The sequence below is a fragment of the Homo sapiens genome, chromosome 9 (genome assembly GCF_000001405.40).
Source record: "Homo sapiens chromosome 9, GRCh38.p14 Primary Assembly".
NCBI classification, from domain to species: Eukaryota; Metazoa; Chordata; class Mammalia; order Primates; family Hominidae; genus Homo; species Homo sapiens.
In genome coordinates this window covers 38060339-38078854 of record NC_000009.12, presented here as the reverse complement: position 1 = coordinate 38078854, position 18516 = coordinate 38060339, and the positions used below count along the sequence as shown (strand labels likewise).

Here is an 18516-nt window from a genome sequence, read left to right as displayed (position 1 = left end):
TCGGCTCACTGCAACCTCCACCTCCTGGATTCAAGCAATTCTGTGCCTCAGCCTCCTGAGTAGCTGGGATTACAGGCACCCACCACGCCCGGCTACTTTTTTGTATTTTTAGTAGAGATGGGGTTTCACCATCTTGGCCAAGCTGGTCTCGAACTCCTGACCTTGCGATCCACCTGCCTCGGCCTCCCAAAGTGCTGGGATTACAGGTGTGAGTCACCGCGCCTGGCTTTTCTTTTAATTATTAAATAACTCAATTAAAAAATGGGCAAAGGGCTGGGCGCAGTGGCTCATGCCTGTAATCGCAGCCGTTTGGTAAGCCAAAGCAGAACTCAGGATCACCTGAGTTCAGCATTCAAGACCAGCCTGGTCAACATGGTGAAACCTCGTCTCTATTAAAAATACAAAAATTAGCTGGGTGTGGTAGCAGGTGCCGTAATCCCAGCTACTTGGGAGGCCGAGGCAGGATAATTGCTTGAACCTGGGAAGCAGAGGTTGCAGTGAGCTGAGATTGCACCACTGCACTCCAGCCTGGGTGACAAAGCATGACTCCATCTCCAAAAAAAAAAAAAAAAAAAAAAAAAAAATTAAATTAAAATGGGCAAAAGGACCTAAATGGACATTTCTCCCAACAAAGACATATAAAATAGCCATGATATATAGGAAAGGTGCTCAACATCACTAATCAACAGGGAAATGCAAATTAAAACCACAATGAGATACCACCTCCCACCTCTTAGGAGGGCTGTTATCAAAGAGACAAGAGATAACAAGTGTAGGTGAGGGTGTGGAGAAAAGGGAACCTCTGCACACTGTTGATGGGAATGTAAATTAGTGCAGGCATTATGGAAAACAGTATGGAGTTTCCTCAAAAAAATTAAAACTAGAACTGCCATATGACCCAGTAAACTCTCTTCTGGGTATATACCCAAAGAAAATGAAATCAGCATCTCATAGAGATGGTGAACTTCCATTGCAGCAGCTTTCACAATAGCCAAGATACAGAATTAACCTAACATTCACTCAATGGGTGAATGGGTTAAAAAATTGTGGTGGATACTCCATTTACTCTGATGTGATTATTACACATTGCATGCCTGTATTGAAATATCTCATATACCCCATAAATACATACACTTACTATGTACCCATTAAAATTAAAAATATGCTGAGTGCAGTGGCTCACGCCTATAATCCCAGCACTTTGGGAGGCCAAGGTGGGCAGATCACTTGAGCCTAGGAGTTCGAAACAAGCCTGGACAACATGGCAAAAACTTTACAAAAGTCTCTACAAAAAACTTAAAAAGTTGGCCAGGCATGGTGGCACACAACTGTAGTCCCAGCTACGCAGGAGGCTGAGGTGAGAGGATCACTTCAGGCTGGGAGGTTGTGGCTGCAGTGAGCCAAGATCATGCCACTGTACTCCAGCCTGGGTGACAGAGCGAGACCCTGCCTCAAAAATAAATAAATTTTAAAAAAATGATGTACACACAATGGGACACTATCCAGCTTTAGAAAAGGAGATACTGCCATTTGTAATGACATGGATTAATCTGGAAGATGTTCCACTAAATAAGTCAGATACAGAAAGACAAATACTGTTTGACCTCGCTTGTATGTAGAATCTGTTTTTAGAAAGTTGAATACATAGAAACAGAGGGGAATGGTGGTTACCAGAAGAGGGGAGAGGACAAGATGGGGGAGAATGGGGAGATATAGGTCAACGCGTACAGATACGTAGAAAAAATAAGTCTAGAGCTGTAATGTACAGCATGAGGACTCGTTAATAATATTGCGTTGGATACTGGGTATTTGCCAAGAGAATAGATCTTAGGTGCTCTTACTGTGTCCTGAAATTGGTGGGTTCTTGGTCTCACTGACTTCAAGAATGAAGCCGCGGACTCTCGCGGTGAATGTTACGGTTCTTAAAGACGGTGTGTTCAGAGTTTGTTCCTTCTGATGTTCGGATGTGTTGGGAGTTTCTTCCTTCTGGTGGGTTCTTAGTCTCACTGACTTCAAAAATGAAGCCGCGGACCCTCGCGGTGAGTGTTACAGTTCTTAAAGGTGGTGTGTCCAGAGTTTCTTCCTTCTGGTGGGTTCGTGGTCTCGCTGGCTCAGGAGTGAAGCTGCAGACCTTCGCGGTGAGTGTTACAGGTCTTAGCGGCTCGTCTGGAGTTCTTCGTTCCTCCTGGTGGGTTTGTGGTCTCACTGGTTTACAGGAGTGAACCTGCAGACCTTCACAGTGAGTGTTACAGCTCATAAGTGCAGTGTGGACCCAGTGAGCAGCAGCAAGATTTATTGCAAAGAGCCAAAGAACAAAGCTTCCACAGAAGGAAAAGGGACCCCACCAGGTTACTACTGCTAGCTCGGGCAGCCTGCTTTTATTCTCTTATCTGGCCCCACCCACATCCTGCTGATTGGTCCATTTTACAGAGAGCGGATTGGTCCATTTTACAGAGAGCTGATTGGTCCGTTTTGACACGGTGCTGATTGGTGCCTTTACAATCCCTGAGCTAGACACAAAAGTTATCCACCTCCCCCTTAGATTAGCTAGATACAGAGTGTCCACACAAAGGTTCTCCATGTCGCCACCAGAGTAGCTAGATACAGTGTCAATTGGTGCATTCACAAACCCTGAGCTAGACACAGGGTGCTGATTGGTGTCTTTACAAACCTTGAGCTAGATACAGAGTGCCAATTGGTGTATTAACAATCCCTGAGCTAGACATAAAGGTTCTCCAAGTCCCCACCAGATTAGCTAGATACAGCGTGTCAATTGGTGCAATCACAAACCCTGAACTAGACACAGGGTGCTGATTGGTGTGTTTAGAAACCTTAAGCTAGATACAGAGTGCCGATTGGTGTATTTACAATCCCTTAGCTAGACATAAAGGTTCTCCAAGTCCCCACCAGAGTAGCTAGATACAGAGTGTCAATTGATGCATTCACAAACCCTGAACTAGACACAGGGTGCTGATTGGTGTGTTTAGAAACCTTGAGCTAGATACAGAGTGCCGATTGGTGTATTTACAATCCCTTAGCTAGACATAAAGGTTCCCCACCAGACTCAGGAGCCCAGTTGGCTTCACACAGTGGATCCTGTCCCGGGGCTGCAGGTGGAGCTGCCTGCCAGTCCCACGCCGTGTGCCCACACTCCTCAGCCCTTGGGTGGTCGATGGGACTGGGCGCCGTGGAGCAGGGGGCGGCACTCCTCAGGGAGGCTAGGGTGGCGCAGGAGCCTACGGCCGCAGGGGGAGGCTCAGCCATGGCGGGCTGCAGGTCGGGAGCCCTGCCCTGCGGGGAGGCAGCTAAGGCCCGGCGAGAAGTCGAGCACAGCAGCTGCTGGCCCAGGTGCTAAGCCCGGGTCGGCGGGGCCGGCTGGCTGCTCCGAGTGCAGGGCCCGCTGACCCCACGCCCACCCGGAACTCGCGCTGGCCCGCAAGCGCCACGCGCAGCCCCGGTTCCCGCCCACGCCTCTCCTTCCACACCTCCCCGCAAGCTGAGGGAGCCGGAGCCGGCTCTGGCCTCAGCCAACCCAGGAAGGGGCTCCCACAGTGCAGCGGCGGGCTGAAGGGCTCCTCAAGTGCCGCCAAAGTGGGAGCCCAGGCAGAGGAGGCGCCGAGAGCGAGGGAGGGCTGCGAGGACTGCCAGCACGCTGTCACCTCTCATTACCACACACACAAAAAGGTCACTATGTGAGATGATAGGTTAACTTGCTTAATTTGACCGTAAAAATTATTTCACTATGTATATGTATATCAAGACATCATGTTATACATCTTACATATATATATTTTAAACCATAGTAAGTCTGACATGCTCCTACCTCCAGGCCAAGGCTAGCAAGCTGAAGTGGACGGAGATGTCCAGCTGTTACCTTCTGCTCTTCCACCCTCCACGATATCAATTGCTTCCATCCACTCATGCATTCAATAAATAGTTATCATGTGCCTACTATGACTACAGGCACTGTTCTGGACACTGGAGGTATGCAGTGAACAAAAGGGCAAAGATCTCTTTCCCGCTGTGGGGCAAGACAAAGAATAAACAAGAAATATATGTAAAATATACAGTAGGTGAAATGAGGAAGAGAGTTATCGGGAAAATAAAATGAGGAAGAGGGATGGCAAGTGTTGAGCAGGGACCGCAGTTCTAGACACTGTGCCCAGGGGAGGCCTCACTGAGCATGTGACATTTAAATAAAGTCCTGAAGGAAGGCACAAGTGTGCCTAGAGGCTTCAAAGAACAGCAAAGAGGCAGCCTGGCTGCAGCAGGAGAGAGAGGACAGCATAACAGGAGGTTAGGAGTTTAAGGGGACCAAGTCATATAAGGCCTTACGGGCTACTGTAAGAATTTTGGCATTTCCTGTTAGGAAAATCAGGATTCCAGGGGGGATGTGAAGAGAGGAAAGACATAATCACACCCATTTTTAACAGGATCACTGGCTGCTGGGGTGAGATGGAAGCAGGGAAGATGGATAAGAGACTCCCACAATAATCCAGGCAAGAGATGAAGGAGTCTTGGTCCAGGATGGTAACAGTGGAGGGGGTGAGTAGTGGCCAGATTCTGCATATACTTTGCCGACGGGCTGGGTAAAGTAGGAATGAACTAAGGGGTCATGGATGACAGAAGTTTTTGCTTTAGATCTTTACTGAGTTCTAATAACTCCCAAATCTACACCTCCAGTCCAGACTTGTGCCCTGACCCTCACAGCTGTTTATACAGGTAGCTAATGCCAAGTCAACCACCTTCTCCTTCCTGCAGTATCACCTTTCACTGGGAAGTGGTTGGTCACCACTCACTAAGTAGCCCAAAGGCAAAGACTTGAGAGTCAGGCAGAGTCTGTCCTCTAAAATGACTTAACACCCTTTCACTACTTCAACGTTATTTATTCATTCAACAAAAGTACTGAGTGCCTTCTGTGCATTAACTACTGTTCTCTGCACCATTTTCTGGTTCCTTAACATTCCTTTAACTGCTCTGCCTACTTTCTGTCTCTCCCCAAGAAATACAACTTCCACACTGCTTCCCAAATAATCTTTATAAAATGTAGAAAACATAAGGTAATTAATTTCCTTGCTCAAAGACCTTCAATGGCTCCCTATTGCCTACAAGATAAAAAATTCTCCTGAGTTTGATATTGAAAACTCTTCCTGATGTGGTACAGCCTACCTTTCTACCCTTACCCACCATTCCATGCATTCAGAGATTCTCAGCTACTCCACTCCACTTGACAACTCACTATGGCCCAAGTGGTTTACCACATGTTCCTGCTTCTATGCCTTTCACGATGTTGCTCTCTCTCTCTCCGCATGGAATTCTCTCGTCTACTTCTACTATATCATAATGCTACTCACTCTTCAAAGCCCAGACCAGATATCACCTCTACTAAGAACCCACTATGATCTGCCCCGCCCCATAATTAAAATCTCCCTTCCCTATAGCCCCATAGCTCTTTGTCCCTTGTTCTGTCCTGCACTTCTCTCATCTTGCCTTGTATAATTATTGGTGAGAGACTGTGGTCCAGATCATCTCTGCATCCTACAGGGCCTGGTACACAGACAGGGGACTGACGTTAACATTCAATGGACAGAACTGAATAATGTTATCTAAAAGAAGTAGATGAGGCCGGGTGCGGTGGCTCACGCATGTAATCCCAGCACTTTGGGAGGCCAAGGTGGGCGGATCACCTGAGGCCGGGAGTTCATGACCAGCCTGACCAACATGGAGAAACCCCATCTCTACTAAAAATACAAAATTAGCCCAGCATGGTGGCGCATGCCTGTAATCCCAGCTACTCGGGGGCTGAGGCAGGGGAATCACTTGAATCCAGGAGGCGGAGGTTGTGTTGAGCCAACATCACCCCATTGCACTCTAGCCTGGGCAACAAGAGTGAAACTCTGTCTCAAAAAAAAAAAGGCCAGGCGCAGTGGCTCACACCTGTAATCCCAGCACTTTGGGAGGCTGAGGCAGGTGCGTCACGAGGTCAGGAGATCGAGACCATCCTGGCTAACATGGTCTCTGCTAAAAAAATACAAAAAAAATTAGCCGGGCGTCGTGGCAGGGGCCTGTAGTCCCAGCCACTCAGGAGGCTGAGGCAGGAGAATGGCATGAACCTGGGAGGCTGAGCTTGCAGTAAGCGGAGATCGTGCCACTGCACTCCAGCCTGGGTGATAGAGCCAGTCTCTGTCTCAAAAAAAAAAAAGAAGAAGAAGAAGAAGAAGAAGATGAGTCTGTTGGGTTGGTGGTGGCACTATTTTTCTGGACCTGTACAAGTGGCACAGCCTTCCTCCAGATACTGGAAGGAGGTGCAGCAAAGGAGACACCATGCCCCTAGCAGCTTGAGGAGCTCTTGGTCTAAGGTGAGAAGCTGAGATAGAACAGAAACAGAAACAGGGCCATACTCAACCCTTCTAATAAGAAAACTAGGGTGGGACTGGAGGAGGACATGAAAAGCAAAAATTCCAAAAATGATGGGCACAGTTTACAGCATCACATAATAATGAGTTTGTGATGTCAAGAGACTGGGGACCAATCCTAGCTGTGCCTCTTGATTTAATCTCTTCCCTTCACTGGTCCCAGTTTGCCCTCTGTAAAATGGAGTGGCTGGATCTCTGAAAAGAGAGTCTGTCCAGCTCTTACTTCCTATAATGCTCTAATACTTCTACAAGTGTTTGTCTTCCTAAACCGTTTGGCAAAGTCCTTAGGAAGCTTTTTCTATTTCCCTTCAGAATGATTATTTCGGACTCTGAGTCTTGGATGGTCGTCTCTACAAGCTCCCAAAGGAAAACACCCATGTGGTTTTTGCCTGCTTGAGGTAAATACCACCTTAGGCCAACTACCCCATCTGTAAACTGGGAATAACACCAGATTGCAGGGATGTTGAGGAGGGTTAATTATATACAGAGTGTCTAAGGGTTGAGCAGATACACAAGTGCTCTGGAAGTTCTTGGCATAATACTATAGCATTACAATAATTCTGGCTTGCAAATTATACCCCAGCAGAGGTATCACATGGAAAAGTGGATCCGACTCTACGGCCTGATGAAAGTGACATGGAAAAAATAAGTTATGAAATATAACTTCTCTTCCTGAACTTTTGGAAAAGGCAGAGATAACCTTTCCATGTGCAAGACACATGCAGGGAGCAAGCTTCCAGATTCTGGTGAGGACTTTCTTGTCTCAGGTGGCCTGGCCTATTGCCAGGATCTGAGCCCAGAAGTAGAAATGGGAAGGAAGGGAGCTGGGGAGGATTTGTGGTTGGATGAAAGGTGGGGCTTAAAACAAGGATGTCCTTGCCTTTCAGGTTTTCTACTGGGGCCTCCTTACGTGCAAGATAATTAAGTGCCAATGCGACAGAGGAACAATTTAAAGGGTAACGGAGATACTTAAGTCTAGGTATATTCAAAATAAACATCCTAGCCAGGTCAACTTCTGGGTCCTCTCTGCATGCCCCAGACACATCACATCTCTCTCTCTCTCTCTCTCTCTCTCTCTCTCTCTCTCACACACACACACACACACACACACACACACATCCCTTAGATTATTTCCTGTGAAATGCTAAGTAAATAGATCTCAGGCAATGAAGATGCTCTGTAGCTGGTGATAGTATCTGCGACTGTGAGACGTCACATAGTGGGTTTGGAAAATTCAACTGGCCACAGAGGATGACAGTTTTGTCTGACCAAGGAGGGAAAGGGCAAATAGCTTGATTCTGGAATAACAAATTTGAAGTCAATTTCACTTTACCACTGTGTATGGCTGAGCAGACAGAGGTCAGCTTCAGGATAAGACCGAGTTCAAGTCCTGCTTCTATCACTTCTGTGCTGTGGCCTCAGGCATGAGTCTGGGTGGGTTACAGAGAGGAAGCAGTAACAGCTCTCAGGCCTTCCCTGTCCAAATGTCTCAGATTGAAATCTGAGTTTGACCTCTACTTCCAGCGTGGCCAGAACTATGATGTGATCAAAAGAGCCCCTGGCCTTGCTGTCTGCCCTCACAGTTCCCACTGTTACTACAGGATATGGGAAAAACAGACTCCCCCAAAGCACATCTATAACAGACAGACAGCAAATGCAGATTATTGATTTGGGCTATTGTTTTAGTAAATCAACATTCTTAGAGAATTTCTCAGCTCTCAGGTGCCCACATCTTAGAGTTAAGTCACATTTTGAGGGTTGCCCAGGCAAATTCAAAGCAGCACCAGGCCCTAGTGGCAGCTACTTCATCTTTAGGCAGCATTTCCCTCTCAACAGGGAGCATGCCACCTCCCCTGGGTGCAGATCCCAGGAAAAGTTACACTGACCAAATCAGGCCACTCCCTGGGACTGTTTCCTCAATTTTGGTTAATAATCAAAGGATGATCTGAAATCGCAAAGAAGAGACTCTTGGAAAAGACATAATTATGGTGCCACCCGACTTAGGAACTGGCATCCAAGTCCACCTGTGTGACTTTCCTCTGGGCCTCAGTTTCTCCATCTGTAAAATGAGGTCCTGTATTTATTTTTTGAGACGGAATCTCCCTCTGTCGCCCAGGCTGGAGTGAAGTGGTGTGATCTCGGCTCACTGCAACCTCTGCCTCCCAGGTTCAAGCAATTCTCTGCCTCAGCCTTCCGAGTAGCTGCTGGGATTACAGGTACCCGCCACCACACCCGGCTAATTTTTGTATTTTTAGTAGAGACGGGGTTTCACCATCTTGGCCAGGCTGGTATTAAACTCCTGACCTCGTGATCCACCCGCCTCGGCCTCCCAAAGTGCTGGGATTACAGGCGTGAGACACCGCACCCGGCCGAGGTCCTGTATTAAATGGATCCTTGCCAGCTCCTACAACATAAGGCATTAAATGTTCCCACAACTTGCTCCCCGCCGGCTGGCAGCGAACAGGGCTAAAGCCTCGACTTCCTCAGAGGTGAAAAGGTAAGCAAACATTCCGACCTCCCCTAGCCTTGCTCTCGGATTGGTGCTGGGCCCGGCTCCCACCGCCTATCCCGACCACATCCGTCATCTGGACTGCTAATACACTCATTAGCATAAAGATTCCTCCGAAGACCTGGCGCACGGGGCTGAACCGGAGTCTGTCCCTTTAAGGAAGAGGGACAGCCACTCTGTCCCTAAGGGCACTAGGCACTGCATTTCCTCCACACGGGCCACGCTGTAAACTAGACAGGTTCCGTGTTAATCCACTCTCCCTCCTCAACCCCGACAGGGGGATCCCTGGAGTGAACAACGCGCGGGGTCCCGGGGGACTGCGGAAAGGTTTGGCCTCTGCGCGTAGCAGGCTCCGCCAGGCAACCTCTCGCCCGAGGCGGCGGCGAGCTGCAAGCTAGGTGGAGCCGGCTGCGCGGCGGGACCCCAGCGCCCTGGGGCAAGACCCTGGTGCTGGCGCCAGGGCAGCCGCGGGAGGTGGCGTGTGCAGGAGCGGAGAGGTGCGCCCACCCCGGCCCCGGGCGCGAGGGGGGCGGGGCTTGGGCCGCGGCCCGGGGCCAGGCTCGCGGGGATGGGCGGTGCTGGGTCTGCGGGAGCGGGCGGGGGGCGGGGCGCGCGAGCGGGCTCCGGGGGGGCGGGGCGGCGGCGCGGGGCGGGCTCTGGCGGCCTGAGTGTCACACACGCGGCGGCTCGGGAGGCGGCGGCAGTGGCAGCGACAGGCGCCGCCGGGACGGGCACGGGCGCGCGGGCTCCGGCGGGCGCCGGCTGCCTTCCTCCGTCGCTCGCTGTCTCTCCCGGCCGCATTCTCCTCCGCTGCGGGGCCGAGCTCTCCCCAGCGCTCGCAGGAAGGAAGAAGGGAGCCGAGGACGCCGAGAAGTTCCCGCGGCAGCCGCGGATCCCGGCCAAGGCGGAGGCTGCGGCTCCGACGGGGCAGGAGCGCGATCCACGGCGAGGGGCGTACGGCCAAAGGGTCCGCGGCGTGGAGCGCTCGGACCTTCCGCTCTCCCCCGGGCGTGGGCCGGGACCCCATGAGACGCGCCCACGAGGGGCGCGAGATTCCTAGCTTGGGCGGCGCTAGGCGGAGGGAGGTGTTGCAGCCGCCGGAGCCAGAGAGCTGCCGGCAGGAGGCGGCGGCGGCAAGAACTTGAACTTGGCGTCGGGAGCGGGCGCCCCGGACGCCCCCCGCCGGGGCCGGGGCGCCGAGGGACCTGCGCCGCAGCGCTGCCCCCCGAATGGCCGCGGCGGCGGACCGGGCTCCCGCGCCGCGGCCCTAGGCGGCCTCTCGCCATGGCCAAGTGGCTAAACAAGTACTTCAGCTTGGGCAACAGCAAGACCAAGAGCCCCCCGCAGCCGCCGCGGCCAGACTACCGCGAGCAGCGGCGCCGAGGCGAGCGGCCTTCGCAGCCCCCCCAGGCCGTGCCGCAGGCCTCCTCCGCCGCCTCGGCGTCCTGCGGTCCGGCCACCGCCTCCTGCTTCTCAGCCTCTTCGGGCTCGCTGCCCGACGACAGCGGCAGCACCAGCGACCTCATCCGCGCCTACCGCGCGCAGAAGGAGCGAGACTTCGAGGACCCCTACAACGGGCCTGGCTCGTCGCTGCGCAAACTGCGCGCCATGTGCCGCCTGGACTACTGCGGCGGCAGCGGGGAGCCAGGCGGGGTCCAGCGCGCCTTCTCGGCCTCGTCCGCGTCGGGCGCCGCGGGCTGTTGCTGCGCCTCCTCGGGCGCGGGGGCCGCCGCGTCCTCGTCCTCGTCCTCCGGCTCTCCGCATCTCTACCGCAGCAGCAGCGAGCGGCGGCCCGCCACGCCGGCCGAGGTGCGCTACATCTCCCCCAAGCACCGCCTCATCAAAGTGGAGAGCGCCGCGGGCGGTGGGGCCGGGGACCCCCTGGGGGGCGCCTGCGCGGGCGGCCGCACCTGGAGCCCGACGGCCTGCGGAGGCAAGAAACTGCTCAACAAGTGCGCCGCCTCAGCCGCGGAGGAGAGCGGGGCCGGCAAGAAGGACAAGGTAAGGTGCCCCTTGGCCTCTTCCCGAGGTTCCAGAGCCACGGTGCGCACGGGGAAACCGAGGCACCCGCCGCTCTGGTGTTGAGTCTCTACTTCAGCTTCGGCCTAGGACCCTGGGTCGGGGCTGGCGTGCTGCTTCCCGCTTCTGCCTCCTCCCGCGCCCTTTTCCTGGGACCGGCGGCCTCCTGACCCCACCTCTTTCGCCGCTGCTTCCAGAACGTCCCCTCTGAGCGAGAGCGCCCGGCCCAGCCTTGCCCCAGGAAGACGGACCCAGTCAGTCCTTCTGGCTGCCAAGGAGTAAAGTCAGAGTCAGAGCTGTCTAGGACTTCGAAGAGCTTTGACTCCTGACACCCCTTATCCCAGCCTCCACCCTCCGCTCACGCTGTAGGTGGGAAACTGAGGTCCAGAGCAAGGAAGGGACTCGCCCAATATTACACAGCTTTCTTGGTGGCAGATCCGGACCGGCTGTCTCCAGCGTGTATATGTAAATCTCTCGCGGCTGCCCTGCCCGGCCCTGCCCTGCCCCACCCCCAGCTCTAGGTTTCCAAATCCGGGCTGCCTGGTACCGGAGCTGCTCCGGGAACCTCCACGCGTGCTTTTCCGGTTGAAATGCGCTGCCTGCAAGAGCGCTCCTCATCGAACCCGTCAGTTCCTCCCGCTGCGCGCGGGAGGGGGTCAGCCTATCAGGCCCGGCTGGAAGGAGACCCCACCCCTCCTATCCTCACCTGCTTCCTTCCTGACCTCACCCCTACCCCATAAGGTCCCAGGAACACGGGGGGACTTTGTGACAGCCCCCTTCCTAACGCATTAGGCCACCTAGATTCCTCCCTTTGAAGCAGACGAGTTAATTACAGCCAGACTAGGTCCCCTCCTCCCCCTTCACACTCCTGTGAAGCCCTCCCTTCCCCCATAAAATAATACTTGTTCTGTCTTCTGGTGGAAGGCAGTGTTTTGATTAAATCTGAGGCCCGGTGGGAGAGCTCCTTCCTTCTCAGCGCCCTGGTGCGTGGCTGTTGTTCTCCCCACCTTCTTCCCCCAAAGGTAAACCTTTGCCCAGGCCTGGGCTGGGGGAGACTGATTAAGAGTCTGAGTTCCTTTTAGGACTGGATGTCCAGACAGGAGGGAGACAGGCTCTTACCTGCCATCTGGTGCTTGGAAAGGGATCTTTTTTGTTTGCCAGGAGAGAGGAGGAAGGGAATGTCCCTCTAGTTTTTCTGCCTGGCCTCCCCTCCCCGAGGTCCCCAGAATATCCCCTCCCCTGTTTGATCTGCATGGGCAGTCCGTGGAAGATCCCACCTCTCCCTGGAGGCAGTTTGGGGCACCCCTCGGAAGCTTGGACTCTGGGTTTCTAAAGCACCTAGGATGCCACACCTAGATGACGACTAGCTGGGAGCCAGGTGGCTACCTAGGAGCTGCTTTGGGAGAGGGGGCAGATTTCCCTGGGAGCCACCAGGACCCTGGGCCTGTGTTTGGTCAGTGAGGGAAACACCAGATAGGCTCCGTGCAGTCTTATGCATGGCTGAAGCTTGGCTTGGTGCAGGCACTGGGGAAACCTGGAGGTCTTGTATATAAAAGGCACGAGAGGGTCACGGCTAACTGCACTGGACTTTATGCATCCTCCTTGTTACCCTGCAGCCACACCCCAGGTGGGCAGATCTCCTTTCTCTTCCACTGCTAGTGGTTCAAAACTTCAGTAAACATTTTTTCCCAGTTACAGTTAAGACTGTTTCAAACACTAAGGAATGATTTGTTTTATAGCCAGGATGTCAAGATATTTAAGACTTGACTCTTTTCATCACCAGATATTTCTTACGGGTCTTCTCTGTGTCCTCCCCTGCTGGGTGCTGGAGCAGGGACCCTCTGCAGCGAATGCTATGACAGAGGCCATAGTGGCGTGATGGTGATGAGTGCTATGATGAGACCTCGTGTTACAGGGTTACAGGAGGGATGAAGGGCAAGGGAGAGGTTGGGGGGTGTGGCATCGAGGAGTGCACCTTGGAGGCAGGGCCATTATTGTGAGGGAGGGGTGGTCACCATGGTTGGCTGGAGAAGAACCCTGTGCTTCAGGGAACTGCAGGTGAAGTCCCTTGTGGCTGAAATTGAGAGGTTAAGAGTTGGGCAGGGCCTGAGTCAGGGAGGACCTTGTAGGCTAAGCACAGAGGGGGCCTGTGAAGGGATTTAGCTGCGAGAGTGTTGTGATCAGATATGGTTTTTTAGAAGATCTCTCTGGGTTACTTTTCACCTACTAGGTTGTGACTGCGAGACCTTTGATCTTTTGAGAAGTTGTCCAGATGTTCTTTCTACCCAGGAGGGAGGAGGCAGCCAGGGAGGCTCAGCAGGACGTTATAGTGCAGCGATCCTCAAACTTTAGTGCACCTATAGGGCTGGTTACAACAGATTGCTGGGGCCCATCCTGCAGCGTCTGATTGAGCATGCCTGGTGGGGGACCTGAGTGTTTGCATTCCATCATTTCCCAGGTTGAGGGGAAATGGCTGAGGGTCCTGGGACCATGGTTTGAAAACCACTCATGCAACAGTGGCTTCTCCTTAACTGTCCCTCTGGGTCTTCTGGTCAGGGCAGCCTTGGGATGCAGAGACTCTGGATGCCCTTGTTTCTGCCATCTGTGTGTGGCTACCTCCTGATCCTGGGCCAGCACCCCTCCACCTCCACCCCATCAGGCAGTCAGGAAGCAGTTGTTTTCACATTATTTCCAGCCAGACAGCTTTTGGGAGGCCAGGCACACTGTAGATCCGGCCTTCCTTCTGCCCCTCACTCATGGATCCAGGAAAACCACTTCTGGCACCTCATTTAGTCTTTATCTATTGTTAGAGGTCTCACTCTGTCACCTAGGCTGGAGTGCAGTTATGGCTCACTGCAGCCTCAACCTCCCAGCCTCAAGCAATCCTCCCGCCTTAGCCTCCTGAGTAACTGGGGCCATGTACTGTCACGCCTGGCTAATTTTTTTTATTTGTAGAGAGGAGGTCTCTCTGTGTTGCCCAGGCTCCTGGGCTCAAGCAATCCTCCTGCCTTGGCCTCCCAAAGTGCTGGGATTACAAGTGAGAACCACGGCACCCTGCCAACTTTTCCATTTAGAATTATTTGGAAGAGAAACTAGCCTTACTCTACTGGTTTCTCCCCTAACATAGCCCACTTTTTCCAGCATTTACTTTGTACTCAGAGATGTCTTGGTACAAGTGTGAGTGAGGAGGGGAGGTAGTGAAGGATGCAGGAGACTTGTCCATGATCTCTGGCCTGAGCTCCTGGAGGAGATTGACAGGAATTTCATCCTTTGTTTCCCAGTGTTTTTATCTTGAAGAATTTGGGAAGTTCATCACCTAGAAGGTGGCTTTGAGCTGGATCTAGGGTTGGAAGTGGAATCTCAGCTCAGGGGAGAGGGTGACTGCACGCTGCAGGAGTGCTTATGTGTCAGGGTGTGTATATGTAAGTGTATACATGTGTGTGAACATAGACGTGTGTGTATGTGTATAAAATCTCAATGTGAGGCCTGTTCTTGGAAAGCAGCACTTTCATGCAGCTGGGCCTTGTTTGGGGAATGAGAGATGACAGTGTGAGAGAGGTAGGGGCTTGAAGTTGGACCCCACAGGGGAGACCTTGAAGGTTGTTGAGCCAGGGAAGGGATGTACTCAGAGCCATGGTGGAGGGGCATCCAGGCTATAAACAGCTGCCAAAATCTGGGGAAAATAGGATCAAAGTTAGGGGACAGTTGTAGTTCTGGTGAGAGACGGTGAGGTCCCGAGCTCCTGGGATGAGAAAACGAAACTGGAATAGGTAGACACAGTATTCCTTCAAGTTGTGCTTTATGAAAAAAAAAAAAAATGATGACAAAAGAGGCCAGTTACTTTGGTAGGTCTCCTTTTGTGCAGCCAAACAGGTCTCATCCAGTTATATTTTCTGCTGAAGTCTTGTTTCTTTTATTATAATTAAATAAATGTTGTTTCCACCACAACTAAGTCAGGAGCATCATGACATCAGTTTTCCCAGGTTTTAAATACATACTAATGTGTACCAACACTTTATATTTTGTCAGCATCCAGAGTTGAGTTAAATAACACTTTTTCCATAGTTACAGAATAAATAATATCATGTCTAACTTTAAAAAAAAAAAAAAAAAAACATCCAGCAAACAGTTTCTAAACTGCCTGCTAGGCAGAGGGAATTCAGAGAGAAGTAAGTGGTGGCTAACTTTCCAAAAAGGAAGCTTCTCAGTTTGCAGTTGAATACCAGCTTCTCCCGGTCTAGTCAGGGAGACAGATACAACCAGAGAGACAATATCACAACCCGAGGAATGCCAGAAGTGTGTGCACAGGGTTGGGAGGGCCTGAACTTGGCTGGGAAGCCAAAGAGGGCCTTCAGCAGAAGGCCACTCTTGAGCTGAGTGTAGAAGGCTGAGTGGGAATTCCCAAGGCAGGGGAGTGGGGAAGAGGGCTTTTCATGCAGAAGGAATAAAGCAGCCTGTGCCATGGCCTGGAGGCTGGAGAGGATGGCTGGGGGCAGCAGGGCAGGTGTGGTGGGAGACTGCAGAAGGAGGTTGGAGCCCACAAAGGGAAGAAAGTCCCATGTGCCTTGCTGCGGAGTTGTGAATTATCATTTGTCCTGTTTCACATAAAATCATTGATGTAGGGCTTGATTGAAGCCGGGGTCAAACATGAGTTGTCAGTCATTCCCATTTGATGAACAGCCACACTCTCCAGTTCTTAAAATATCACTAATGGCAAAGGTCAGGGTTGCACTTGATAGCTGTGGTTTGGCTTGGGACACTTTCCCCTTTGAAGTCCCATCCCCTGAAAGCAGTGTGAGAGAAATGCTGCGTATCAAATCCAGTTTTTCCTGGTTGATTCCCCAGAAGGGAAATACATTCCCCAGGCTTCATAGTAACCACTTAATCGGTCATTTAATCCTCACTGTCCCACTGGGAGAGGCTTGAGTACTGTATTAGCTGTTGCTACATAACAAATCACCCCAAAACCGCCCGTGGTTTGATTGTGGGCCATGCTGTCTCTATTGTAGCTCTTCAGCTCTGCCACTGTAGCTTGAAAGCAGCCATAGACAATATGGAAATTAATGGGAACAGCTGTATCCCAATAAAACTTTATTTACAAAAACAGGCAGCTGGCCTGTGCGCTCTAGCTTCCAACCCCTGCTTTAAACGATAAGGTTTTATTATAGCCAAGAGCCTGCATATCTGAGTCATTTTTCTAGTCTCAGTTGGGCTCACTCATGCCTTTGCAGTCACTGGGGGTGGGGTGGGTATGCAGCCCTGCTGATCCTGGCTAGGCTTTCTTACGTGTTTGGTGGGCTGGTTTAGGATGGCCTTGGGCTGCAACAATTCAGCTCTGTTCCGTGTGGTCTCTCCTCCTCCAGCACATGTTCATATGACGGCAGCAGGGTTCCAAGAAAAAGCAGGAGCGCATAAGGTCTCTTGAGGTTGGAAACTGGCATGGTGACCCTTCTGCTGCATTCTGTTGACTAAAGCAAATCATAAGGCCAGCCACAATTCAAGGAGAGAGGAGGAGCTGCAGTGTCCCATGGCAAAGGGCAGGGATACAGGCAAGCCATTAATTAGGGCCTTCGATGCCATCATCTACCTTATCCCCATATTCCGGATAAAGAAACTGAGGCTTAGAGAGGTTGATGACTTGCCTAATGTCACACAGCTGCAAAGTGATAGAGCAAGGATCACACCAGTGCAGTCTTGAGTTCAAAACCTATATGCTTCCTCTATTTTCCGTGGTTTCAATGGAAATAAGTAGTATGAGGCTTGGATATTTACTGGAATATATGTTACATGTCTCCTCCTCCCCTTTACTTAATGCTACTCTTCTTGCATCCCTCTGCTGTAATTTCTCCGCTTTCAGCCTTTGCTTTGGTGTCCCTAGAAGAGGCCCTAGAGCTGGCTTTTCTGTTTCTCTGTCTCCCATCTGCCTCAGAGTTCCAGAAATGAGATGTTAATGCAGCACTTGAGTTATTTTATAGAGAAATTCTGAGCACAGAGTTGGCACATCCCAAGGGACAGCTGCACAAAACGTGAGTCTTGTAACTGTCATGTCTTCTCATTCTAACACCAAGCATTCCTTCCCTTCAAGGATTTGCCGGGCTGTGTGTGCTCTGTTTGGAGGAAGAGACTGGCGGTACATTGGCCCTGATCAACAAGGAACTTAAGTTTCCTTGAAGGAGATCAGGTGACTGTCCTCTCTAATCTGACAATCTCAGAACATGACTGATTACCCCAGGGCTTAACCCCCATGACTTGACCCTATCCTCTCTTTGCCCCCAGAGCATTTCTGACCCATAAAAATTAGCTTTAAAAGTCAAATCTGAAACAGCTGTGGTTTCTTCTGATCAGTCAGCAAGGTCTAACTTGCCTGTGGTCAAGCCTTCCCCTGATTAGCTTAGCTTGTGCTGGGAGAGCCCAGAAGTGGTGGCCTGTGGGGAATGGGTAGGCCAGGCTTGGCCCTAGAAAATAAACTGGGACGTGTGACTTTCCAACAGAGCTCGCATGCTGGCTGGCTGACGGCAACACACCCTGTGGCTTTGTGAGGTTGGTTGATGGTGGTGGTAGGGGTGATGTATTTTCTATTTCTTTTTTTTTTTTTTTTTGAGACAGGATCTCACTCCTGTCCCCCATACTGGAGTGAGTGGCACGATTACAGCTCACTGCAGCCTCAACTTCCCAGGCTCAGGCGATTCTCCCACCTCAGCCTCTCAAGTAGCTGGGACTATAGTCACACGCCAGCACACCCAACTAATGTTTGTATTTTTTTATTGCCCAGGCTGATCTCAAACTCCTGGGCTCAAGTGATCCGTCTGCCTTGGCCTCCCAAAGTGCTGGGATTACAGGTGTGAGCCACTGTGCCCAGAAGGTTGTGCATTTTCCGCAGGACAAAGGTGGTGGTCGTCTCTGACTTCCTAGCTTTCATTTGGCCTGTGCTGACTGAGCAATTGCTATATGCAGGCCACCATCAGGAGCTGTGTGGATACAGGGATGAACCAGGGCCTGGATAGTGCCCGCCCCTGAAAAGCTTATCTTTTGGTTGAGGACACAGGAACCAAGGTTGAAACCCACATCTGTATGTCAGAATTTATCTGTAAATAAAGTGGTGTGGGTGAGCTAAAAGCTGTCTTGGCACAGAGACTGTTCTGGGCAGGGCCTTGATTTCATGGAGCCACAGGAGATGCAGGGTGAGGAGGAGGTATTTGAGTAAAAAAGGTACAATCACTTGAATTAAGGGAGTTTTCCACTACAGTAATATTAGCTAATACTTTTATTATACATACTCTGAGCTAGGTGCAGTTCTGTGTGCTTTGTATGTAACTTTACTCCTCACTACAGTCCTTTGAGGTAGCTACTACTACTGCTACTTCTATTTTCATTTTTACATATGAGGAAACCAAGGCACAGACAGGTTAAGTCACTTGTCTAAAGTCAGGTCGGTGGTTCATGCCTGTAATCCCAGCACTTCCTGTAATCCCAGCACATTGGGAGGCCAAGGTGGATCACCTAAGGTCGGGAGTTGGAGACCAGCCTGGCCAACATGGTGAAACACTGTCTCTATTAAAAATACAAAAATTA

The 18516-nt window shown here is 51.4% G+C and overlaps 1 protein-coding gene and 1 long non-coding RNA gene across 3 annotated transcripts in view, besides 3 other annotated features; both read left to right on the top strand.

Annotated features, from left to right (window-relative positions):
- The first annotated feature begins 4215 nt into the window (after window positions 1-4215).
- On the top strand, window positions 4216-7428 carry LOC105376039 (uncharacterized). 2 transcript variants are annotated; one of them, XR_007061483.1, is made up of 4 exons: window positions 4216-4296; window positions 4434-4545; window positions 6729-6814; window positions 7304-7428. It is a non-coding gene; the product is annotated as an uncharacterized LOC105376039 (long non-coding RNA). The 2 variants fall into 2 exon arrangements; XR_007061482.1 differs by lacking the exon at window positions 4216-4296 and adding an exon at window positions 7000-7162 and having other exon boundaries at window positions 4458-4545.
- Window positions 9218-10027: a silencer, noted in NCBI's record as "silent region_19917". NCBI's record gives its function as "represses an Ori minimal core promoter by ATAC-STARR-seq in GM12878 lymphoblastoid cells {active_cell/tissue: GM12878}" and the evidence as "EXISTENCE:reporter gene assay evidence [ECO:0000049][PMID:35858748]".
- Window positions 9628-18516, top strand: part of SHB (SH2 domain containing adaptor protein B) — a 153330-nt gene continuing 144441 nt past the window's right edge. The window contains exon 1 of the mRNA NM_003028.3: window positions 9628-10926. Coding sequence (NP_003019.2) covers window positions 10210-10926 — 717 coding nt within the window. The 5' untranslated portion in view covers window positions 9628-10209. The remainder of the gene's footprint in view (window positions 10927-18516) is intronic.
- Window positions 10388-11191: an enhancer, noted in NCBI's record as "H3K27ac-H3K4me1 hESC enhancer chr9:38067661-38068464 (GRCh37/hg19 assembly coordinates)". NCBI's record gives its function as "activates a minimal SCP1, AML or CMV promoter by ChIP-STARR-seq in naive and primed H9 embryonic stem cells {active_cell/tissue: H9 hESC(naive and primed)}" and the evidence as "EXISTENCE:reporter gene assay evidence [ECO:0000049][PMID:30033119]".
- Window positions 10448-10497: a silencer, noted in NCBI's record as "silent region_19916". NCBI's record gives its function as "represses an Ori minimal core promoter by ATAC-STARR-seq in GM12878 lymphoblastoid cells {active_cell/tissue: GM12878}" and the evidence as "EXISTENCE:reporter gene assay evidence [ECO:0000049][PMID:35858748]".